Below are 20,216 nucleotides of genomic sequence, written 5' to 3' on the forward strand. Positions count from 1 at the left end.
AAATGGCCTTGCAAAGCTGTCTCTTGTGGGGAAAATCTACGTTCTGTAGATTTCCCTTTCCAGATCTTTTTCTGATCCAGGAGAGATTAACCAAGAGTCTGGCATCTTTTTAGGTCTGATAAGAAATACTTACCATCTATTTCTCTGAAGCCTGCTACCAGGAGGCTTCATCTACATAAGAACATTTGTCTATACAACACCTTATCTTATCCCAGACACTCCTTTCTATTCATTCCAGTTCGTTAGACAATAACTATTTCAACCAAATTGCCAATCAGAAAATCTTTGAATCTACCTATGATCCAGAAGCTCCTGCCTACCCTTCCCTGCTTCCAGTTATCCTGCCTTTCCAGACTGAACTAATGTACATGTATTGATTGGTGTCTGCCTGTAACTTCTGTCCCCCTGTTACCAAAAAGGGGTCCTGATCCAGACCCCAAGAGAGGGTTATTGGATCTCAAACAAGAAAGAATTCAAGAGGAATCCATTAGAGTAAAGTGAAGCAAGTATATTAGAGAAGTAAGGAAATAAAAGAATGGCTACTACGTAGGCAGAGCAGCCCCAAGGGCTGCTGGTTGGCCACTTTTATGGTCATTTCCTGATTATATGCTAAACAAGGGGTTGATTATTCGTGAGTTTTCCAGGAAAAGGCTGGGCAATTCCTGGAACTGAGGGGTCCTCCCATTTTTAGATCACATAGGATAACTTGCTGTCTTTGCCATGACATTTGTAAACTGTCATGGCACTGGTGAGAGTGTCTTTTAGCAACAGATACATTATAACTAGTGCGTAATGAACAGTGAGGATGAACAGAGAACACTTTCGTCGCTATCTTGGTTTTGGCCGGCTTCTTAATGGCATCCTTTTAACGGCAAGCTCTTTGTGACCTGTACCTGTGCCAACCTTCTATGTCATCCTGTGACTTAGAATGCCTAACCTCCTGGGAATGTAGCCCAGTAGGTCTTAGCCTCAAGATGGAGTTGCTCTGGTTCAAACGCCTCTGACACCCCTAAAATTTATAAAAATCGAGCTGTAATCCAACCACCTTGGCACATGTTCTCAGGACCTCTTGAGGCTGTGACTCAGGCCTTCGTCACTCATATTTGGCTCTGAATAAAATCTCTTCAAATATTTTACAGTTTGACCTTTTTTGCCAACAGACTACTTAACTTCTGTGTCAGTTTCCTCATCTATAAAATGGGGATAATACCTGTTTCATGGGGTTATTGTTTGGATTAATTGAGTTAATAAACTAGGAAGTCCTAAATAAGTCTTAGTGAAAGAATTAGGCAGCCTCATGAAATGGAGCTAGAAATGACTTCATTCATCCACAGCGGTGGAATTTGGGCCTACGTGGGCCAATGTGTGGTGCAATCCATTCTGCAGACAGTGACGCTTATGAGTAAGACAAGTGCTCACGCCATTCCGGCTGCACCTTCACACACTGCAATCTTCAAGCCCTTATCTCCTCTCACCAGGACTCATGCCGCCAGCGCATGCAATCTCTATCCAGCAGATGTGTTTTAATCACCTGCATGTTCCAGGATGGGAAAGGGGGTGGCAGGAGGTGACGCTGGAGGAAGAAGGAAGAGGAGGGCTGAGGAGCTGAGCTTAGTCAGGGAAACAGGCCATGACAATAAGGAAGAGGGAAGTGCAGGGCTCCAAGGAAGACACAGAGGGCACCTGCACTGCCCCACCCCACCCCCAGGCTTTGAGGCCTATCAGAAGTTGGTGTCTTAGCTTAGGAAAACTTGAGAGTTAGCCGGGCAAAAAAGGGAGAGACATGGTCCCAAACACAAGAAATAACACAAGTTGTGTTCTTTCTTTTTTCTTTTTTTTCTGGAAACAGTCTTGCTGTGTCACCCAGACTGGAGTGCAGTGTCAGCTCACTGCAACCTCCGCCTCCTGGGTTCAAGCAATTCTCCTGCCTCAGCGTTCCAAATAGCTGGGATTACAAGGGCGCACCACCACGCCCGGCTTTTTTGTATTTTTAGTAGAGATGGGGTTTTGCCATGTTGGCCAGGCTGGTCTTGAACTCCTGACCTCAGGTGATCTGTCTGCCTCGGCCTCCCAAAGTGCTGGGATTACAGGCCTGAGCCACTGCGCCCGGCTGAGTTGTGTTCTTGACCAGTTTTCCTGACTCCATTCCCACCGACTCACTTAGAGCCAAAGCCTTTATTATTATTATGGGGACAGGGTCTGCCCTGTCACCCAAGCTGGAGTGCAGTGGTGCGATCACGGCTCACTGCAGCCTCAACCTCCTGGGCTCAGGTGATCCTCCCATCCCAGCCTCCTGAGTAGCTGGGACTACAGGCGCGCGCCACCACGCGGCTAATTTTTTTTTTCTTTTTTTGTAGCGATGGGGTCTTGCCACCATCAGGAGGCTGGTCTTAAACTCTTGGGCTCATGGGATCCTCCCACTTTGGCCTCCCAAAGTGCTAGGATTACAGGCGTGAGCCACCGGGCCCGCCAGCCTCCTTTAGGAAGAAAACCTGATAGTCACTCCACTGTTAGAAACCTCTCAGTGGGGTTTTTCGAAATGAAAGTCTAACTCCTTGTCTCTTTCTGACCGTTTCCATGCTGAACCTCATCTTTCTAATGGCCCACTCCTCCAGGGGCCTGCCTGACGCCCAGGACGGCCCCTCGTCAATCACACAGGACGCTAATGGGCGCGGGATGAATCTGGGCGCCCAAAAGAGGACAAGTTGAAATGGATTTTTAAGGTACTTTAAACACATTTAAGAGAGAAAAGAAGGAATAAAAGGGACATGACAAGAACAGTGGGGCCTGTGGGCGCAGCACACGGTTTGGGGTTGGTCGTGGCTTGCGTGTCTGACCGCCCGGTCTCCCTCACCGCCTGCACTGCAGGCTGCGGGGGCCTGTCCAGTCCTTTGCACTCCAGGTGCGGCGCTGGACAGCGGGAGCTCCAGCCACGGAGGCCGCTCCTTCAGGGAAGGATAGCCCGGGCTCCTCCGTGCCCCTAAACCCTGCAGACCACGAAGTGAACCCGTGTTGGAACCAGGTGCAAAACCCCCAGCCCTCCGGCGCTCGGGCTCCAGAGCCAACTCGGAATCCCCGCCCCTAACGCTACTCGCCAATCAGCGGCGGTTGCGAAATCCGTGCCCGCCCCCTGGCCGCGCCCTCTGCCAATGAGCGAGGTCCGAGAGGCCCGTCGCCCAGCCCAGTCCCGATCGGCGCACGCCGCTGTTCGCGTGTCTGGTTCCAAATAAAGTTTTTCGCGACTTTGAATTTTTTTTTTAAAGCGCCCGCTGCTGTCTCGGCTGCCGCGGGCGAGAGCGGCCGAGTCCCCGCCCCGCCACTTCCGGTCCCGCCGCCGGGAGCCGGTGCGGCTGTGAGGGGCCGCGTCTCGCAGCAGCCGCCCGGACCGGGCATGGTGTTGGGCGCCGGGCCCGCCTCGCCTGTCTCGGGGAGCCCAGGTGAGGAGCGACCGTGCGGCTCTGCGGCGGGGCGAGGTGCGGCCGCCGGTGCACGGGCTGGCCTGCGGGCCGGGCGGAGGGCGCGGGCGGTGGCGGGGCCGCCTCGGGCCCGCCGGGTTCCTCACGCCGGGGGCCTGGCGGGCGCGGGCACCCGGACGCGAGGCCGAGCGGCGTGAATGGGAAGGGGCCGCGGGCCGCGGGCCGCGAGCCGGGGGTCGGAGGCGGCGTCGGCGGCCGGGGCGCTGGCCTCGCCCGGCAGTGAGTGACCGCGGCGGCGGCGGCGGGGGACGGCCCGCGCCGAGCACCTGGTGTGAACCAGGCCCTGGGCCGAGCGTGGCACAGACCTGGCCGCGCTCACGCCCCACTCGCGGGATCGGCTGCCTGCCTTGTACGGAGGAAGCGGGGCGTCCAGCGCCTGGCCAAGGTCACCGGCCCGACGTGGCCGCAGAAACCGGGACTGGACTCCCGATCGGGGCAGGAGTCGCGCTAGGCCGTGAGGAGCGGGGGAGGTGAGGGGAGTGACAACTCGCGCCCGGTCCTCGTACCTGCAGCGGGAAGAGTAAGTATGGACGCTTACCTACAACTGGGGGCGGCCAGGCTAGTTTGGAAAATTTTTACCACAGCAAAGGAGACGAGGAAGGAAGGGCATCTTGGAACAATTAGTGCAGCAGAGTCTTGGTTCCAGACCTAGTTCTGCTGGTGTGTCATCTTGGGTGTGGCCTTCCCCTCCCTGGGCTCAGTTTCCTCATCTGTCACAGGAGAGAATTGGGTCCCCCCACTCTGCATTCCCGACCGCCTGGAAGTGGGGGCAGGATGGGTTGGAATAGCCAGAGAAAGCTTCTTGGAGGAGGAGATGTTGGGATGTAGGTAGGAATCTTCCCCTTAAGGAAGGGGTAGGATTCGTTTGTGAAGGGAAGGAGGGCATTCTAGACCTGGGTATCAGACTGAATAGAAGCTTCTGGAAATGAACAGGGTGTTGTGAAGGAACAAAGAGGAAACTGGCCTGCCTGGTGCAGAGGAATCCTGGCTGAGGAGTGAGATGAAGGCAAGGGGGAGCATAGAGGTGGGAGAGAGAGAGAGATTGAGAGACAGAATCACACCAAGCTTAGTGCTGTGGGGCTTGAGGACCCCCCACCTGGACATACCTGCCTTTCAGGTAGTAGGCAGTGCAGGAAGGGGCAGGTTTACTGCTGAACGTAAAAGGGGCTGGGCTCCAAAGATGGTCGGTCAACCAGCGTACTCCTGTGCCGAGCAGGAGGTTCCTGGGCACTGGCATTCTGTAGAAGAGTGGGATGTGGACTTTGTTGTGCCCTGATCGGGGCCCCTTTGGCTGGGGAAGTTGAGTGTCCCCTAGTGACCCGCAGTCCCATCCTTTATGCTTGGATTGAGACGTCTCCATTCGGAAGGAATTGTAAATAAGTAGCCCCCTCACCTTGAGCTGACTGGCCCCTGGTGTCCCTGCACAAGTGACATGGCCTGGTTTTGCCATTGCTTGCAGGGATGCTGAGTAAATATCACTTGATGGCACTAGTAAGTTGCACACCAGATGCTCTTCTCCGGGCTGTCTGAAAGCAGGTCCCACCCAGAGGAGGAACCTAACTGGGCCAATTACAACTTGTGGAATTTAGAAACTGAGAATGCTGTTCAGAACAGCTGATCTGTTACCGAAATGCTGCCTTAGAGCGTAATTTGCAGGAAAGAGGAAGTTTTGTTTTAAACCAGATCTTCAAGAGTTGAAGCATATTGAAGAAGGAAAAGAATTCTGAAGCAACTGCAGGTATTCAGCTAGCCTCTTGACAGTTTGAAGACTTACTTTTTGATAGAATCCTTTGGTTTAAATTTAATTTTACAGCTATGGCAACATTCCCAAATTAGGCCTTGGGTTTATTCTTAAAGTGGCGTGTGAAAATGATACACACGATAGAAAAATAGATGGTCACTATATTAGATTTCTTAGAATGTTAGAGAAGTACATTTTTTATTACTTTCTATGGAAAACAAAGCACCAGTGTTACATTCTTTTATATCTTGCAAGTCACAGACTTGAAGATAGTAAACCAGCAATCTGACTCTTCAGTGGAATTGAATGTTGGAGCGTCTTCTGCCCACAGAGAAGACTTCATCGTGGCGTGATTGGGGGTATAAAAGCGTTAAGCGTAGCCTGCGGGCTGTAGTGGTGCAGAAGAGTTTCTTGGTGGTTGGCCTTTGAGTGCATGAAGGATCTCTCTCCCCAGGCTTCCCTGAGCCTCCTTCAGGGAGCTGCATGTGGCCCTGGTGCTTGCTGTTCTGTGGGACTCTTCATTCTGACTTTCCTAGGTTACTGCCTGCTGAACTCATGTTCAAGCAGTTGTGCTTTTATTTTTCACTCTTTGCTTCATTTGCATTCCCAAGGTCAGCCAGAGACCTGGTAGTCCTTGTGTAGGGCATCTGGTGCGTCCAGCTGACCCCCAGGTGATGGATGGATGCACGTCTTGGTCCATTATTGGGTGACTCTGACGATGTGGCAGGACTGATGTGCTCGAGTCTGCACACGGGGCAGCAGACTTGGCTGGGAAGGGAGACACTGTTCCATGACAAGGAATCCTTGTGAGGGATTTTTGACAAGATCATTCCAGGTAGGGGCTGAAGCAGGAGAGCTTGGCTCTAGATGGTGCTGCTGTCTGTGGTAGCTAAAGCCCCTACAGGTGTTTGTGACTATTTGCCTGTGAAGTAACTTCATCAGCTGAACCCAGCTGCTTTGCTCTGGGCGAAGCTGTGAAGATGTGCTCTTATGGAGGGCCACCTGAGGAGATGGCACAGTAGCGTAACAATGAAGAAACTAATGTTGGTTTATTTTCACATTTTTGTCAACTTTATTGAGGCGTAATTGAAATACACTAAATTGCCCATATTTAAATTGTGTAATTGATCAGTCTGAAACCATGACCACACTCGAGATAAAAACATTTCCTGCCCGGCATGGTGGCTCACGTCTGTAGTCCCAGCACTTTGGGAGGCTGAGGCAGGTGGATTGCTTCCGCTCAGGAATTCAAGACCAGCCCGGGTAACATGGTGAAACCCTGTCTCTACAAAAAAAATTAAAATTAGCTGGACATGATGGTGCCTGCCTGTAGTCCTAGCTGCTTTAGGAGGTGGAGGGTGCTGAGGTGGGAGGATCTCTTGAACCTGGGAGTTTGAGCCTGCACTGAGCTCAAGTCACGCCACTGCACTCCAGCCTGGGCTACAGAGCAAGACCTGTCTCAAAAAACAAACAAAAAACATTTTTGTCATCCACAAGAGGGAAACTAGTGTGTCTGTGGTGACAGCTTCTAGCAGCTGAGTGGCTTTGGGCAGCCTACCTTCTGGGCCTCTGTTGTCCTGGGGTCCACATGTTAAAATGGAATGGGAGTGAGAGAAGTCCATTCCAACTTTGCAATTCTGAGAGCTTATGACCGTGAAAGTGCAGAGCTGTCTTTGAAACCTTTAGACCAGTGCTTCTTAAGGGGTTTAGGGTATGTGTATGTCCGTGTCCTCTAGTGGAAAAGACTGTGCAGTTCAGAAGATCGTATTCTATGTATTGTTTTCGTTTTGAAAAAATTCTTTAAATTTTTTTATCTTTTGAGATGCGGTTTCACTCTTGTTGCCCAGGCTGGAGTGCAATGGCACAATCACTGCAACCTCCACCTCCCGGGTTCAACCTATTCTTCTGCCTCAGCCTCCTGAGTAGCTGGGATTTACAGGCACCCGCCACCATGCCGAGCTAATTTTTTTTGGTATTTTTAGTGGAGATGGGGTTTTGCCATGTTGGGCAGGCTGGTCTAGAACTCCTGACCTCAGGTGACCCACCTGCCTCGGCCTACCGAAGTGCTGGGATTATAGGCATGAGCCACCATGCCTGGCCTGTACTGTTTTCATGGTACAAACAATAGAAAATAAAATCTGACAGCATTTAGGGGATATGCAGAAGATGGTGTGAGAAACTGTGTAAGAGACCTGGGTGAAAAATGGTTTCAAATGCCAATGAGGAACGGAGTATTCTTATTTGACTTTCAGGATCTTAGCCTCAACCTAAAATTTCTGTGCTTAGGTCAAGCTTTTCACATGGAATTTTTAGATCATTTTCTGTTGAAACGATCAGAGTGGTATTGAAATAAAATGATACGAAAGCAACAAAGGAAATTATGGAAATATTGAACTGGTGACAATTTATTTTGTTTTATTTTATTTTATTTTTTTGAGTCTCACTCTGTTGCCAGGCTGGAGTGCAGTGGTGCAATCTTAGCTCACTGCAACCTCTGCCTCCCGGCTTCAAGTGATTCTCCTGCCTCAGCCTCCCAAGTAGCTGGGACTACAGGTGTGGGCCACCACGCCCGGCTAATTTTTTTGTATTTTAGTAGAGACGGGGTTTCACCATGTTGGCCAGGGTGGTCTCGGTCTCCTGGCCTCATAATCCACCTGTCTCGTTCCCCTAAAGTGTTGGGATTACAGGCATGAGCCACGGCACCTGGCCCTGGTGACAAATATTTGTCCTCAGTCAAAAGAAGTTCCAGTGACCCTCTCTGACCATGGCAAGGAGGACGATTAATGTCAGTTTATGTTAGAAACAGAAGGCAGAGTCTAGCGGATAGTTACTTTGTTACAATTAGTGGGATCATAATGTAAGCTGTGGACTTTGAGTTATAATGTGTTAATGTGGGTTCATTAATTGTAACAAATGTACCCTCTGGTGGGAGATGTTGGTAATAGGGGAAGGATGTGCATGTGTTGGGGCAGGGGGCGTATGGGAAATCTCTGTACCTTCCTGTTAATTTTACTGTATACTTAAAACTGCCATTAAAAAATAAAATCTTAAACAAATTGTGGCATTTCTTCAACCGTCTCCCAGATAGCAAGGGGCATCACCTGTGTTTGGTCTTTGTTGTCCCTACTAGTGAGCTTGCAGCAGGGGAACCTGCAACACAGATGGGGTGGAAGCCACCAATGAACATAATCTACTTTGGGACATTAATTTTAATTTAGTCTTGATGTTGAAATTGCCAAAAAATATAAATAAAACACAAATGTAAGTAAATGCAACACAGCATGAATAAATGAGAAGATGCTTATTAAGGCTCTATCCACACCTTTATTAAAAGAGGAAGGAGAGCAAAGAGTGGTGCTCCTCTTCCACCAGAGGCTGTGCTGCTTCAGTTGGTGATGGGCCAGAACCTGGGACCGTACCATGTGTGTGCATGATCCCCTGCAGCAGGGAAGGGCCAACTTACCAGTGGGCAGTAATGGACTCATGTGGAACCCATTGGTGAGGGCATGCTGGTTGAGAAACTGTGGAGGCCACCCTAGACCTTGTGTTCCACGGGAGCTTTGTCACAACCACATCCCAGGACCTGGCACCCAGTGAGTGTGAAATGCATGACTCTTTTTAATTTTAAATTTTTTTTTTTTTTTTTTTTTTTTTTTGAGACAGGGTCTTGCCGTGTCACACAGGCTGGAGTGCAGTGGCACAATCACGGCTCACGGTATCCCCAATCTCCCAGGCTCAAGGGATCCTCCTACCTCAGCTTCCCGAGTAGCTGAGACTACAGGCACACACCACCACTCCTGGCTAATTTTTTTATATTTTTTGTAGAGACAGGGTTTTGCCATGTTGCCCAGGCTGGTCTTGAGCTCTTAGGCTCAAGCAATCCTCCTACCTTGGCCTCCCAAAGTGCTGGGATTATAGTTGTGAGCCACCGTGCCCAGCCATGACTCTCTTTTTTAAAAAATGTTAATTCATAATTTTAAAAGTTAGGCTTATAGAGGATGGCATAGAGCTTCTCAAATGTATTATGAAGGAATCCAATCTTATTAATGTGTACAAATTTTTTCCATAACTAAATTGTGGGAAAAAATCAAAATACAAAAGCACTTATACATTTTTCTCAGTGTCTAATTAGTCTCTGGAGACCTGGTCCTTAACCCTGCTTTCATTGCTGTCTTTCAGGGTAAAGGCAGCAGTAATGCTAACGCTAGCAAGTAAACTGAAGCGTGACGATGGTCTCAAAGGGTCCCGGACGGCAGCCACAGCGTCCGACTCGACTCGGAGGGTTTCTGTGAGAGACAAATTGCTTGTTAAAGGTAATGATCATTCGTGTGAACTGTTTTTATATCCTATAACAAAAGGAAGTTTGACTGGAGAGTCTTTGGGGATATAAAGCAACCTACTGCTGAATAGAAATACCTGTTTAAAAGATTTTAAAATATAATTGCTTATCTCTTATAGTGAAGGACATTGTACCACGCAGGTGATATGAGCACACTGTTGCAAGGAGATGGTATTAGAAACTGCAGTGTGTCTTATACACTTGGGATGTTCTTTGTCACGTCTGCCAAAATGCTAGCAGAAAGAATAAGGTGCTGAGAGTCAGCAAAGCCTAAGACTGGTTTCAGAGCTGCCATTATCTTCCTTTCTTTCTGATTCTCAGCACCATAGTTTCTGCTCTGTAAAGGGGAAGGAGTCAAATTTTGTAATCTCTTAGGATCTTTTCCTGTTTTATTCAGGTCAAAGCCTACGGCGAATCTTGTGAAAAATTAGTTCTCTTCACGGAATTAATAACATATAGTGTTCTAGAGTTTTCGTGACTTCTGCTATCCATGTTGGTGAGGAGAAACTTTATCCTTGGAGAAGGGTTGGTAAAATGTATGAGAGTATGCGTGCATGCAGATATGCATTCATTTGTATGTTTGAGCATAAATTTTGCATTTATTCATTTAGCAAACTCTTAAAATTTTCAAGTGCTTTGAAGTCGGTTTCTTGGGGGTCATAAGACCTATAAAAGATGAAGAAACAGTTGCAACCTTTAAGGAGATTATAATTTGCTTATTTATAATAAAGTTAACTTTGTATTTTATTTATTTATTTTTTTGAGACAGAGTCTCACTCTCACCCAGGCTGGAGTGCGGTGGCACAATCTTGGCTCACTGCAACCTCCACCTCCTGGGTTCCAGCAATTCTCCTGCCTCAGCCTCCTGAGTAGCGGAGATTACGGGCACCCGCCACCACGCCCAGCTCATTTTTTTTTTTTTTGAGATGGAATTTCGCTCTTGTTGTCCAGGCTAGAGTGCAGTGGTGTGATCTTGGCTCATCACAACCTCCGCCTCCCAGGTTCAAGCAATTCTCCTGCCTCAGCCTCTCGAGTACCAAGCAATTTTCCTGCCTCAGACTCTCGAGTAGCTGGGATTACAGGCATGCGCTACTACACCTGGCTAATTTTATATTCTTAGTAGAGATGGAGTTTCTCCATGTTGATCAGGCTGGTCTTGAACTCCCCACCTCAGGTGATTTGCTCGCTTTGGCCTCCCAAAGTGCTGGGATTACAGGCATGAGCCACTACACCTGGCCAAATTTTTGTGGTTTTTTTTTTTTTGTTTTTTTTTTTTTTTTGAGATGGAGTCTCGCTCTGTCACCCAGGCTGGAGTGCAGTGGTGCAATCTTGGCTAACTGCAACCTCTGCCCCCAGGGTTCAAGTGATTCTCCCGCCTCAGCCTCCATAGTAGCTGGGATTACAGGCGCCTGCCACCACGCCCAGCTAATTTTTTGTATTTTTAGTAGAGATGGGGTTTCGCCACGTTGGCCAGGCTGGTCTCAAACTCCTGACCTCAGGTGATCCGCCCGCCTCGGCCTCCCAAAGTGCTAGGATTACAAGCATGAGCCACCGTGCCCAGCCATTTTTGTATTCTTAATAGAGACGAGGTTTCACCATGTTAGCCAGGCTAGTCTTGAACTCCTGACCTCAGATAATCCACCCGCCTCGGCCTCCCAAAGTGCTAGGATTGCAAGTGTGAGCCACTGTGCCCGGCCATAAATGGAGACAGAGTTTCACCATGTTAGCCAGGCTAGTCTTGAACTCCTGACCTCAGGTGAGCCACCCGCCTCTGCCTCCCAAAGTGCTGGGATTACAGACGTGAGCCACTGTGCCTGGCCTTACTTTATCACAGGTGTTTACATTTCTTTAAAATTTTTTTTTTTTTTTGAGACAGACTCTTACTCTATCACCAGCCTGGAGTGCAGTGGCGTAATCATGGCTCACTGCAGCTTCAGCCTTCTGGGCTCAGGCGATCCTGTCACCTCAGCCTCCTGAGTAGTTGGGACTACAAGCGTGCACCACCATGCTTAGCTAGTCTTTTTATTTTTTATTTTTTTGTAGAGATGGGGTTTCATTATGTTGCCCAGGCTGGTCTTGAACTCCTGGGCTCAAGTGATCCACGCACCTCGGCCTTCCCAAAGTGTTGGGATTACAGGTGTGAGCCACTGTACCCGTCAAGTGTTTACATTTCTTACATGTAGAGCAGCTAGAAAGCAAAGGGTTGATTAGTGTATTCGAACTCCCTGTTTTCATGTTGTATTAGGTTGACAACATGGAGATTGCAGGCATTTACGTGTCCTGAAGAATCTAACAGCAGAAGAGCTGGTGTATGTAAATGTGCTGTGCTTGGCCTTCCCAGACACAAATCACTGTTAAACTGGGGAAGGAATGGGAACTGTGAGGGCACTGGGTTTGTGGGGACTTAACAGTGTCCTCTTTTTCTTTTTTAAGACAGAATGCAGTGGCATGATCTCGGCCCACTGCAACCTTCACCTCCTGGGTTCAAGCGATTCTCATGCCTCAGTCTCCTGAGTAGCTGGAATTACAGGCACACACTACCACGCCCAGCCAATTTTTGTATTTTTAGTAGAGACGGGGTTTCAACATGTTGGCCAGGCTGGTCTCAAACTCCTGACCTCAAGTGATTGCCTGCCTTGACCTCCCAAAGTGCTGGACTAACAGGCATGAGCCACTGTGCCTGGCCTGTACTCTTTTTCTTACTCTCCTTCTGCCCCTGAGTTTGGACTTAGTTTTGGATTATCCAGCCTGATGATTGGTTGAAAGTGGAGTGAGAATGGTATTTCACATTTTGGCCTTACCTACTAAGCCTGGGAGAATAGTAGATTGTATTCAGCGTCTGTTGTGCTGGAGGCTTTACCCTAAGAGGCCCAGAGGGCGGGGCAAGAGCTGGAGCACCTTACTTGGGTGTGCCTGATAGGACTTGAGTGTCTTCTCAGATTCCGGGCTCCATCTGCAGCACAAGCCAGGAAAATGGTGTGTTGTTGCTGTACTTGGAGTAGACAGTGAGTGCTTCAGTGCCTGAGGAGTTGCAGCAAGGAGGGCCTGGATGTCAGCTGAGGAGGAGTGGGTAGAAGCTGACAAACAGACTGTCCCATCTTCTTTACCCAATCATTGTCATGGTTAATAGTAGCTAATAGGAGCTTTTGTATACTGAGCACTTAGGGCCAGGCCCTCTGTTGGGCACCTTCTTAGTTCATTTGTGCTGCTGTAACAAAATGCCACAGATTGGGTAATTTATAAACAATAGAGTTTTGGAGGCTGGGAAGTCCAGGATCCTAGTAGGATTGGTATCTGGTACAGGTAGTTCTCTGCTTCAAAGATAGCACCTTGTTGCCGTGTCTTCACATGGCAGAAGAGATGGAAGGGCAAAAAGGGCCTAAGCTAGTTTCCTCCTGCTCTTTTATAAGGCCCTGATCCATTTATGCGGCAGAGCCCTGATGACAATCACTTCCCTAGAGGCCCCACCTCTTAATACTACCACAGTGGGGATTAAGCTTCAGCATGAATTTTGGCCCCATTCGAGCCATAGTAGGCACTTAATGGGGTAATTCTTGTTTGACTTTTCAAAGCCTTGCCAGATTGATCCTTCATTTTACCCATAAACTGCTGAGACTCAGGTTAAGAAACTTGCCCAGTTTGCGGGTTTATTGCAGCAAGACAGCCAGACCCACATACTGGGGTAGGACAGGCTCTGTGGGGGCAGATGCGACAAGCAGAAACCAAAGTAGCAGAATAGAAGTGCAAGTCCACAGAAAAGAGAGTTCAAGGAGGCTCTGCGTCTCCATGTCTCCTGCCCTGCTCAGGAACTCACCCTGGAGCTCTCTGCCGGCTCCAGGGCTGACAGAGCCCACTAAGACCTACCAACCTGGGCGCCCCTCCAGCTCCAAGGAAGGAAATATCTTTGGCTGGGTTGACAGGGCCCAGCTGAGGTTCTCTGACCTTGTGCAACCCATCAAGAACAAGAAGGTCTCACAAGGAGAAGGGTCTCACAAGGAGAGGTGCAGAGCCAACGCTTGAGGCTACCATTTCCATCCTCCCCAGGCACTGGTAGCGATTAAGTTTCAGAGTCCAAAGCACTGGCGATAAATGGCAGTAGAACTCAGTGTAACCTCCCCTCTCGTGGCCTTTCCTTCCACTCACCTCAGGGGCTGCAGGCCAGGCTGAGTGGTGAGTAGTTTGGGCTTGTGGTGGAGTTTGTGAGGTGAGGGTAAAGAGAAGGGTGGGCCTGATCTGAGAGAGGTGGCTGTACACACAAAGTGCAACAAGAGTGCCTGATGGTTCATGCTTGTGGGGTCCGCCCCTAGAGTGCTCCTTTGTTTAGCTTGCTTTGTGGGTGGCTTGTTGACCCTGGTGGCAGTCTGGCCTTCTATCCTCTGGGGAGTTATGGCGGAAGTGGTGCTGTGGAGGCTGCTGTGGCTGTTGGAGGGCATGGCAAGGCACTTTGAGGGGTGATAAAGTGAGAATCCTTTCCAGGTGAAATCCAAACTCCCTTTTGGGACTTTGAGAAAAGTAGAGTGTTGGAGTTCAGAAAGATTACTATAGTCAGAACTGTCATCGGGTACTGTGGCTTGTGTAAGGGTGTTATTCACAAGCATCCATAGGTGGTAGAAATTTGTATCAATATGTCTGGGACTTCATGCCATAGGCTGGGTTTCCTGAAGAGGAGGTAGGGAGTTTGTCATGCAGGATCCTTACTAAGGGGTACCTTTGGGACAATACCTGTGGGGTAGGCGAGGGAAGCAACAGCAGGCAGAGGGAGACTCAAGCAGCAAGGAAGGCCCCACGACAGCCTCTGCTTTGGAGCAAGAGCAAGCGCAAGCACAAGCACAGCCCTTCAGAGCTGTCCCCAGTCTGGTGAGATAGTCAGGTTTTCCTGCTCTGCAACTGTCATTCGTTAGATGAGGGTTGCCTGGGACAGGTGTGGTGTGGAGTGCAGGTCTGTGCAGCCACCAAATCCCTGAAAGGGCTGATTGCTGAAGGCTGCCTGCCCACAGCCCTCACTGAGGGGATCTGGGTGCTGCTGCATCACAGCGCCTGGCTCATTGCCTTGCTCACCTGTGATGTGGGCTCTGATGTGGTGCAGATGGCAGTAGGGCTGAGCTTATAGGAGGCAGGAGCTTGTCCCTGGGGAGGGGTGCGAGGAAGGGCCAGTGGTATCTGCACAACAGAGGCCCCTTCTTTTTCTTGGAAGAGTGAGCCCAGTTCTGAACAGTGATGGGAGGCCAGAGTCAGCTCTCCTGGCTCGATTCCAGGTCTCTGGAAACATGTGGCCTGCTTTGGAGTGGCCGGCCATGGGGAGGCCTCCAGATGGCCGCAAGGGCTCCCCGCTCAGCCACACCCACATTTCCTCAGCATCCTCAGTCCAGTTCTGAGGGCACCCTCTGGGCTGGAGCTGGAGTGATGCTTGTAGCTGCATTGCCTGGAGGGTGTAGAATGATGAGTGTTTTGGGCTGCTGTCTCTCCTGACTCCAGAAGCTGGGGTCACTGAGGAGAGAGAGTCAGATCTGCATTTGAGCTGGCCCTGACTTGGGTCCAGGCCTGACTGGAGGGCTGGCCATTGCCAGTGTTGTTGTTGGCATTCCCTGTGAACCTCTGTGTGACTGAGTCCATCAGGGTCTGAGTCCATGGTGCTCCCTACCCCCCAAACACCCCTCAGGGCAGAATTAATTGCTTTCTTACCTGTCTGAAGTTTGGCACTGTTTCCATCTAATAGCTCAATGCCTGTCTGTCTCCCTGTTCTTTCACTTGTTCACCCAACATGCATTGTAGTGCCAGCATACAGTTAGTGACCCCCAAAGACCTCAAGGGTCTCCAGGAGGTCTGACAGGACCCTTTGCCTGTGTCAGTCTTTGTTAAATGTGGGGATTTGGAATTGAGCCATTTCAGGGTCAAGTCTGGAGTTAGGGGAGCTAAAGGGGGTTGATTCTGTGCGTACCCCTTGTCCCAATCAGCCCCTGAGTCCCAGGTGGTTTCTAACCTTCTCTTGTTTTGGCTGATGGGAGCTGGGGCAGTGGGAGGGTCTGGCTGCCCATCTGCCTGAGCTTCCCAGTGTCTAGGATGCAGGGGCCTCTCTCTGTGAGGGTGCCTGTGTCTGCCTGAGCAGTCCAGTCACAGGTGGGACCCCTCACCTTCCTATATGAGGTCTGCAACATGTCCCCATTTCAGTGTTGGGGGAGAAAGAGAAGCATTTACTATTTTCTGGAACCACTGTCTCCAGCGTGTCCTGGCGCGGAAGTCTAGCAGGGCGGGCTCAGGGTGTGGCATGCCACATTGTCAGGGTAGTCACAGCATTTAGCAGTGTGTGCCGCTGGGAGGTTCTGTGCTACAATACATATTTTAAAAACTAGAGCAGTGGCCCAAGGGGAGGATGTAAGGCAGTTGGCCACAGGCTGACCTTTAGATGCTTTGTTGGAGGGTTAAATGCCAGTGGAGCTGCCCCGGGAAACTTGGCAGCCCCTCAGGTGTACCACATAGCCCACTGGGCAGGGAGGACCCTGTGTAAGCATAGATGAGGGCTCAAGTTGACATCATCTGCATTTGTGTTCAAAGTAAGTGGTAGGAGACCTGTGGGCTCCATTCTTAGTGATACCAGGCTCTGCTACAGGGGCTGTGACTGCTTTTCAGAGCTACAGCCTTGCTCCTCCAGAGCCTGGAGGGGACCATGAGCACTGTGGGCCTGCACTCTGTAGTGTGAGGCCTCAGCCCTGGTGGTGCTCTCTCTGGAGGGGCTGAGGCCCTGTGTGTGAGTCGAGTGTCTCCCAGCTGTGAGGCATGCAGAAAAGGTGGATTTGAGGATTTTAATGCATGAAGGCAGTGGGAAGCTAAGAAATAAAGTTCTAGTTCTAGAAATCTGTGAGGCAGTGCTTCAGGTTTAAGGAAGTAATCAGGTCACCTGGAAAGTGGCAGCTGTCTCTACCTAGGTTGAAGGGCTCAGCAGCTCTGCCTAGTGTTGTCTGATGGGGCTTGGAGCTGGCTTTTGCCAAGAGTCCTCTGCCTGTGTGACCAGCCTTTTGTCTTTGTCAGCTTGGGCTGCTGTAACAAAGGACCATAGATGGTTTGGCCTAAACAATAGGCATGTGTTTCCCTTCTGGAGGCTGGAAGGCCACCTTCAAGTTCCTGATGAGAGCTCTCTTCCTGGCTTGCAGATGGCCTCTTCCTGGCTGTGTCTTCACGTGGAGGAGAGAAGGGGAGCTCTGGTCCCTCTTTGTTTTTTGTTTTTGTTTTTTTTAAATAACAGCATGAATCCCATCATGAGGCCTCCACCTCCATGATCTGATCTAAACCTAATTACCTCCAAATACCATCACATTGGGGGTTAGAGCTTCAACATATGAATTTGGGGGTGGAGGGCATAAATTCAGTCCACAGCGCCTTTGGAATGCCTCCTCAGTTCCCAGCTATGTGAAAAGAAACATTCTTGGGTCTTAGAGGAAACTCATAGCAGGGGCACTGCCACCCTGTAGGCAAGTATGCTTATGTGTCCCCCTTTTCCTGAGCACCCCATGTGTGCCCAGCCCCAGTGCCAGGTACTGAGCTCATAGGGCTTGGGCAGATTACATGGCCCCTGCCCACAGGGTATGCAGGGTCAGGGAGCAGGCGGCAAGGAGCCAGCAGGAGCCCTGTGTTAGGGCCAGGGCAGGAGAAGGTGAGTACGTGCTGTGTGGGGGCCTCTGTGGTGATCAGGTGGATTTTGCAATCTGATATTTCAGTGTAGTCACGCTTCAAATGGGTCCTGTGGTTTGATCTTTAGTTAGAAAGGAAAAGAGTCTAATCTATCAGAAGGAAGTTATGCGGCCACGGAATTGTGCAAGCTGTCAGCCAGGTGCCTCCCAGAAATGCCGGGTCACATCTTGAAATGGGCAAGACTTGAGCAGTTTTAAAAGTATCTTCATTTCTCATTACCTTGTAGGTGGGTGGCGTTCTTCAGGTGGTGAGGGTGTACAGAGAAGGGCCACTGCTTTGCCCAGAGGCTGCCAAGCTTTGCTAATAGTCTTACTGCACCTTGACTCTAAGGTGATAACTGTTGATGTTAGTGAATTCTAATTTGCCCTCGTTGGAAGTGCAGCAAAACTTCTTACCATTTGTGACAACTCCCTGAGATGAGCACTGTGGGAGTGTGCCTGGCTTATTTTCTGCCCTGGTGGAACTAAAATGCCAAGCATCTTTATTGAAATCCTGTGCCCCAGGATTGTAGTCCTTGCTTGCACTATCTCTTGGACCAGAAGCCTGTGGGGACTGTGACTGTGGTGGGATCATTGGTAGGCTGGGTCCAGGAGCTCCCTCAGCCTGCCCTCCTTCCGTGAGTGAATTGCACTGAACATGCAAATGTGAGCCTGATGCTCATCTTGGAATTTGAATTCTTTTTTTTTTTTTTTTTTTTTTTTTTTTTTGAGACAGGGCCTTAGTCTGTCATCTAGGCTGGAGTGCAGTGGTACGATCTCAGCACACTGTAACCTCTGCCTCTTGGGCTCAAGTGATCCTCCCACTTCAGCCTCCTGAGTAGCTGGGAGTACAGGTGCATGCCACCATGCCTGGCTAATTTTTGTATCTTTTGTAGAGACAAGGTTTCGCCACGTTGCCCAGGCTGGTCTCAAACTCCTGAGCTCATGCGATCTGCCCTTCTCAGCCTCCCAAAGTGCTGGAATTATAGGCATGAGCGCTGGGAGAGAATTTTAAAAATTCAGAGACCTAAGTTCTACCTGAAACTCTTGATATAATTGGTCAAGGTTAGGGCTGGGGCATTAGGAGTTTTAAAAGCTCAGCAGGTACTGGATTGTGGTAATGGATCCATAGCTCCAAAATGTACTACAATTTATTGAATCATTTACTTAAAATGGGTCTATTTGATTGTATGTAAATTGGTCCCTGACAAAGCTGTCAAATGTCAAACCAGCAAAACACTCCCCGAGTGGCGAATGTGCAGCCAGGGCTTCCATTCCTTTCTTTATCAGGTGTTGTCTGGCATCTTCCTGGCTGTCACTTTGCTGGCCCCTGAGTGCCTCTTGCTCCCGCACCCCTATCCCCGTAGGAGAAGGGGCCTGGCTCTGTTGCCCATTTCTTCCCACTCCTCCGCCCTACCACATCACAGTCTTAGCACTGGTCAGTGGCCTCACTCTTCATTGTCCGTCTGTGCCCAGACCTCACCTCTTCCCTTGTCACTAGACTGTCCTCTTGAACCTTTTGCTTGTGTCATGCTGGCCCCTCTGCTTGCAATCCACAGTCGCTTACCATGCCGTCTGGACACATTTCTAAATTCCCGTAGGAAAAGCTGGATGACAGGAGTTATCACCCTCTACTGAGGTGGCTTGGGCCACTGCCAGAGTCATGCCAGGGAAAGCTGGATTCCAGTGGCCAGCATCAATCTCTCAAAAGAAGGGCCCTCAAGAACAGTTTCTTGTAAATTCTAATCAACAAAATATAAATAATACAGAATAAAATGTTAGTATTTGCTTTAAGATCAAGTTTAATTATATAGGTAACCCTTATTTAAAAGTGATCATTATGAACAACTCATTTGCTCTTCACCTGTGTAGGTCACACCTGTGAGATGTGACCAGTGTTGGGTGGTGTGGTCCGAGGTTCTGTTGTCTTTCTCCATCCTCTGCCTTTCCCATACATTGCTCTAAGGAAGGGCAAAATCTGGCCCATTGGAAAGGCAGCTATGTATCAGTGTGGGCATGAGAAGAATAATGGTAAACCTTTCCTAGGATCACCATCATTATATTTTGTTAAGTAAATATATGTATATATTTTATGTTTTTGTAGTGACAGAGTCTCACTATGTTACCCAAGCTGATATGAAACTCCTGGCTTCAAGCGATCCTCCTGCCTTAGCCTCCCAAAGTGCTGGGATTACAGATGTGAGCCACTGCACCCAGTCAAGGGAATATTTTTTAATGTAGGGGCCACCACATAAGACTGCCAGGAAGATAGGCTCCCAGGGTTGTATTTAGTCACAGAACTTGCTCTATTTCTGATCATGGCAAGTGGGTGAACTCTTTCTCCTCTTCTCCCCACACTCAGCTCCGCTGAAGAGATCTGTCCTTTTTCTCAGTGTGAGAAGGCTTGCCCTGGCCAGAGCATGTCCTGGCCCTGAGAGGGAGTGGCTGTGGGTGGGCTTCTCCCTTTCTCTAGCTCCTCCACTGTCTGTCTTCACCTTTGGTGCCCATTCCATATACCTGGGCCCTAGAATGAGTGCATTTAATGGGCCACGTGCCTCTACACAGGTGCTTAGTTGTAGCATATAAATAGCTGAGATCAGAGGCCTGCAGGTCTCCTGAACCCTGAGCCTCAGAGTAGAGCCCTCAGCTAGCCTTTTCATTCCTCCACTCGGTGGTCAGCTTTGTGAGCATTCTGGCCTCCATTGCCCCTTCCCGTTGCCTCCTTTCCCCACTTCACTTCTTGAAGGAATTGTGCTGCAGCTGTTTTGACCTCACATTTGCGTCTTCACTTCGTACTCTGGGTTCCATCTCTCTTCCTGCTTTCCTGCTGTTTTGAATGCGAATCAGCAAGGTCTGATCCACTTCCAATGGCCTTTCCCCTTGGACCCTCTGTGCTCTTTCACTGAATCACCACATCCCCGATGGCTGTCCTGCTTTTCGGCATGTTTCTCATCTGTAACTTTCCCTGTTCCTTGGCCGTTGCTTTCTCCAAGGTC

General features: G+C 49.6%; 1 protein-coding gene and 1 long non-coding RNA gene across 9 annotated transcripts in view, besides 3 other annotated features; both read left to right on the forward strand.

The window, feature by feature from the left end:
- Positions 453–856: a transcriptional cis regulatory region, noted in NCBI's record as "candidate enhancer chr2.7218 targeted for multiplex CRISPR interference". NCBI's record gives its function as "positively regulates UBE2F gene expression in K562 cells {active_cell/tissue: K562}" and the evidence as "EXISTENCE:mutant phenotype evidence [ECO:0000015][PMID:30612741]".
- Positions 1,183–1,846: a transcriptional cis regulatory region, noted in NCBI's record as "candidate enhancer chr2.7219 targeted for multiplex CRISPR interference". NCBI's record gives its function as "positively regulates UBE2F gene expression with high confidence in K562 cells {active_cell/tissue: K562}" and the evidence as "EXISTENCE:mutant phenotype evidence [ECO:0000015][PMID:30612741]".
- The window catches only part of UBE2F-SCLY (UBE2F-SCLY readthrough (NMD candidate)), a 132,469-nt gene continuing 115,502 nt past the window's right edge, over positions 3,250–20,216 (forward strand). The window contains exons 1-2 of the long non-coding RNA NR_037904.1: positions 3,250–3,437; positions 9,397–9,530. This is a non-coding gene — a long non-coding RNA (UBE2F-SCLY readthrough (NMD candidate)). The remainder of the gene's footprint in view (positions 3,438–9,396; positions 9,531–20,216) is intronic.
- The window catches only part of UBE2F (ubiquitin conjugating enzyme E2 F (putative)), a 75,769-nt gene continuing 58,871 nt past the window's right edge, over positions 3,319–20,216 (forward strand). For 5 of the 8 annotated variants that reach the window (NR_103499.2, NR_103498.2, NM_080678.3 and 2 more), the window contains exons 1-2: positions 3,319–3,437; positions 9,397–9,530. Coding sequence is in view for 5 of the 8 variants with exons in the window: in NM_080678.3 (NP_542409.1) it covers positions 9,413–9,530 (118 nt within the window). In the remaining 3 variants the exon portion in view is untranslated. Of the gene's footprint in view, positions 3,438–5,092; positions 5,215–9,396; positions 9,531–9,953; positions 10,053–20,216 lie in introns of those variants that run through there. The other 3 variants (NR_103500.2, NM_001278305.2, NM_001278306.2) reach the window with 3 other exon arrangements.
- Positions 3,363–3,542: a silencer, noted in NCBI's record as "silent region_12483". NCBI's record gives its function as "represses an Ori minimal core promoter by ATAC-STARR-seq in GM12878 lymphoblastoid cells {active_cell/tissue: GM12878}" and the evidence as "EXISTENCE:reporter gene assay evidence [ECO:0000049][PMID:35858748]".

The sequence above is a fragment of the Homo sapiens genome, chromosome 2, assembly GCF_000001405.40.
Source record: "Homo sapiens chromosome 2, GRCh38.p14 Primary Assembly".
Taxonomy (NCBI): Eukaryota; Metazoa; Chordata; class Mammalia; order Primates; family Hominidae; genus Homo; species Homo sapiens.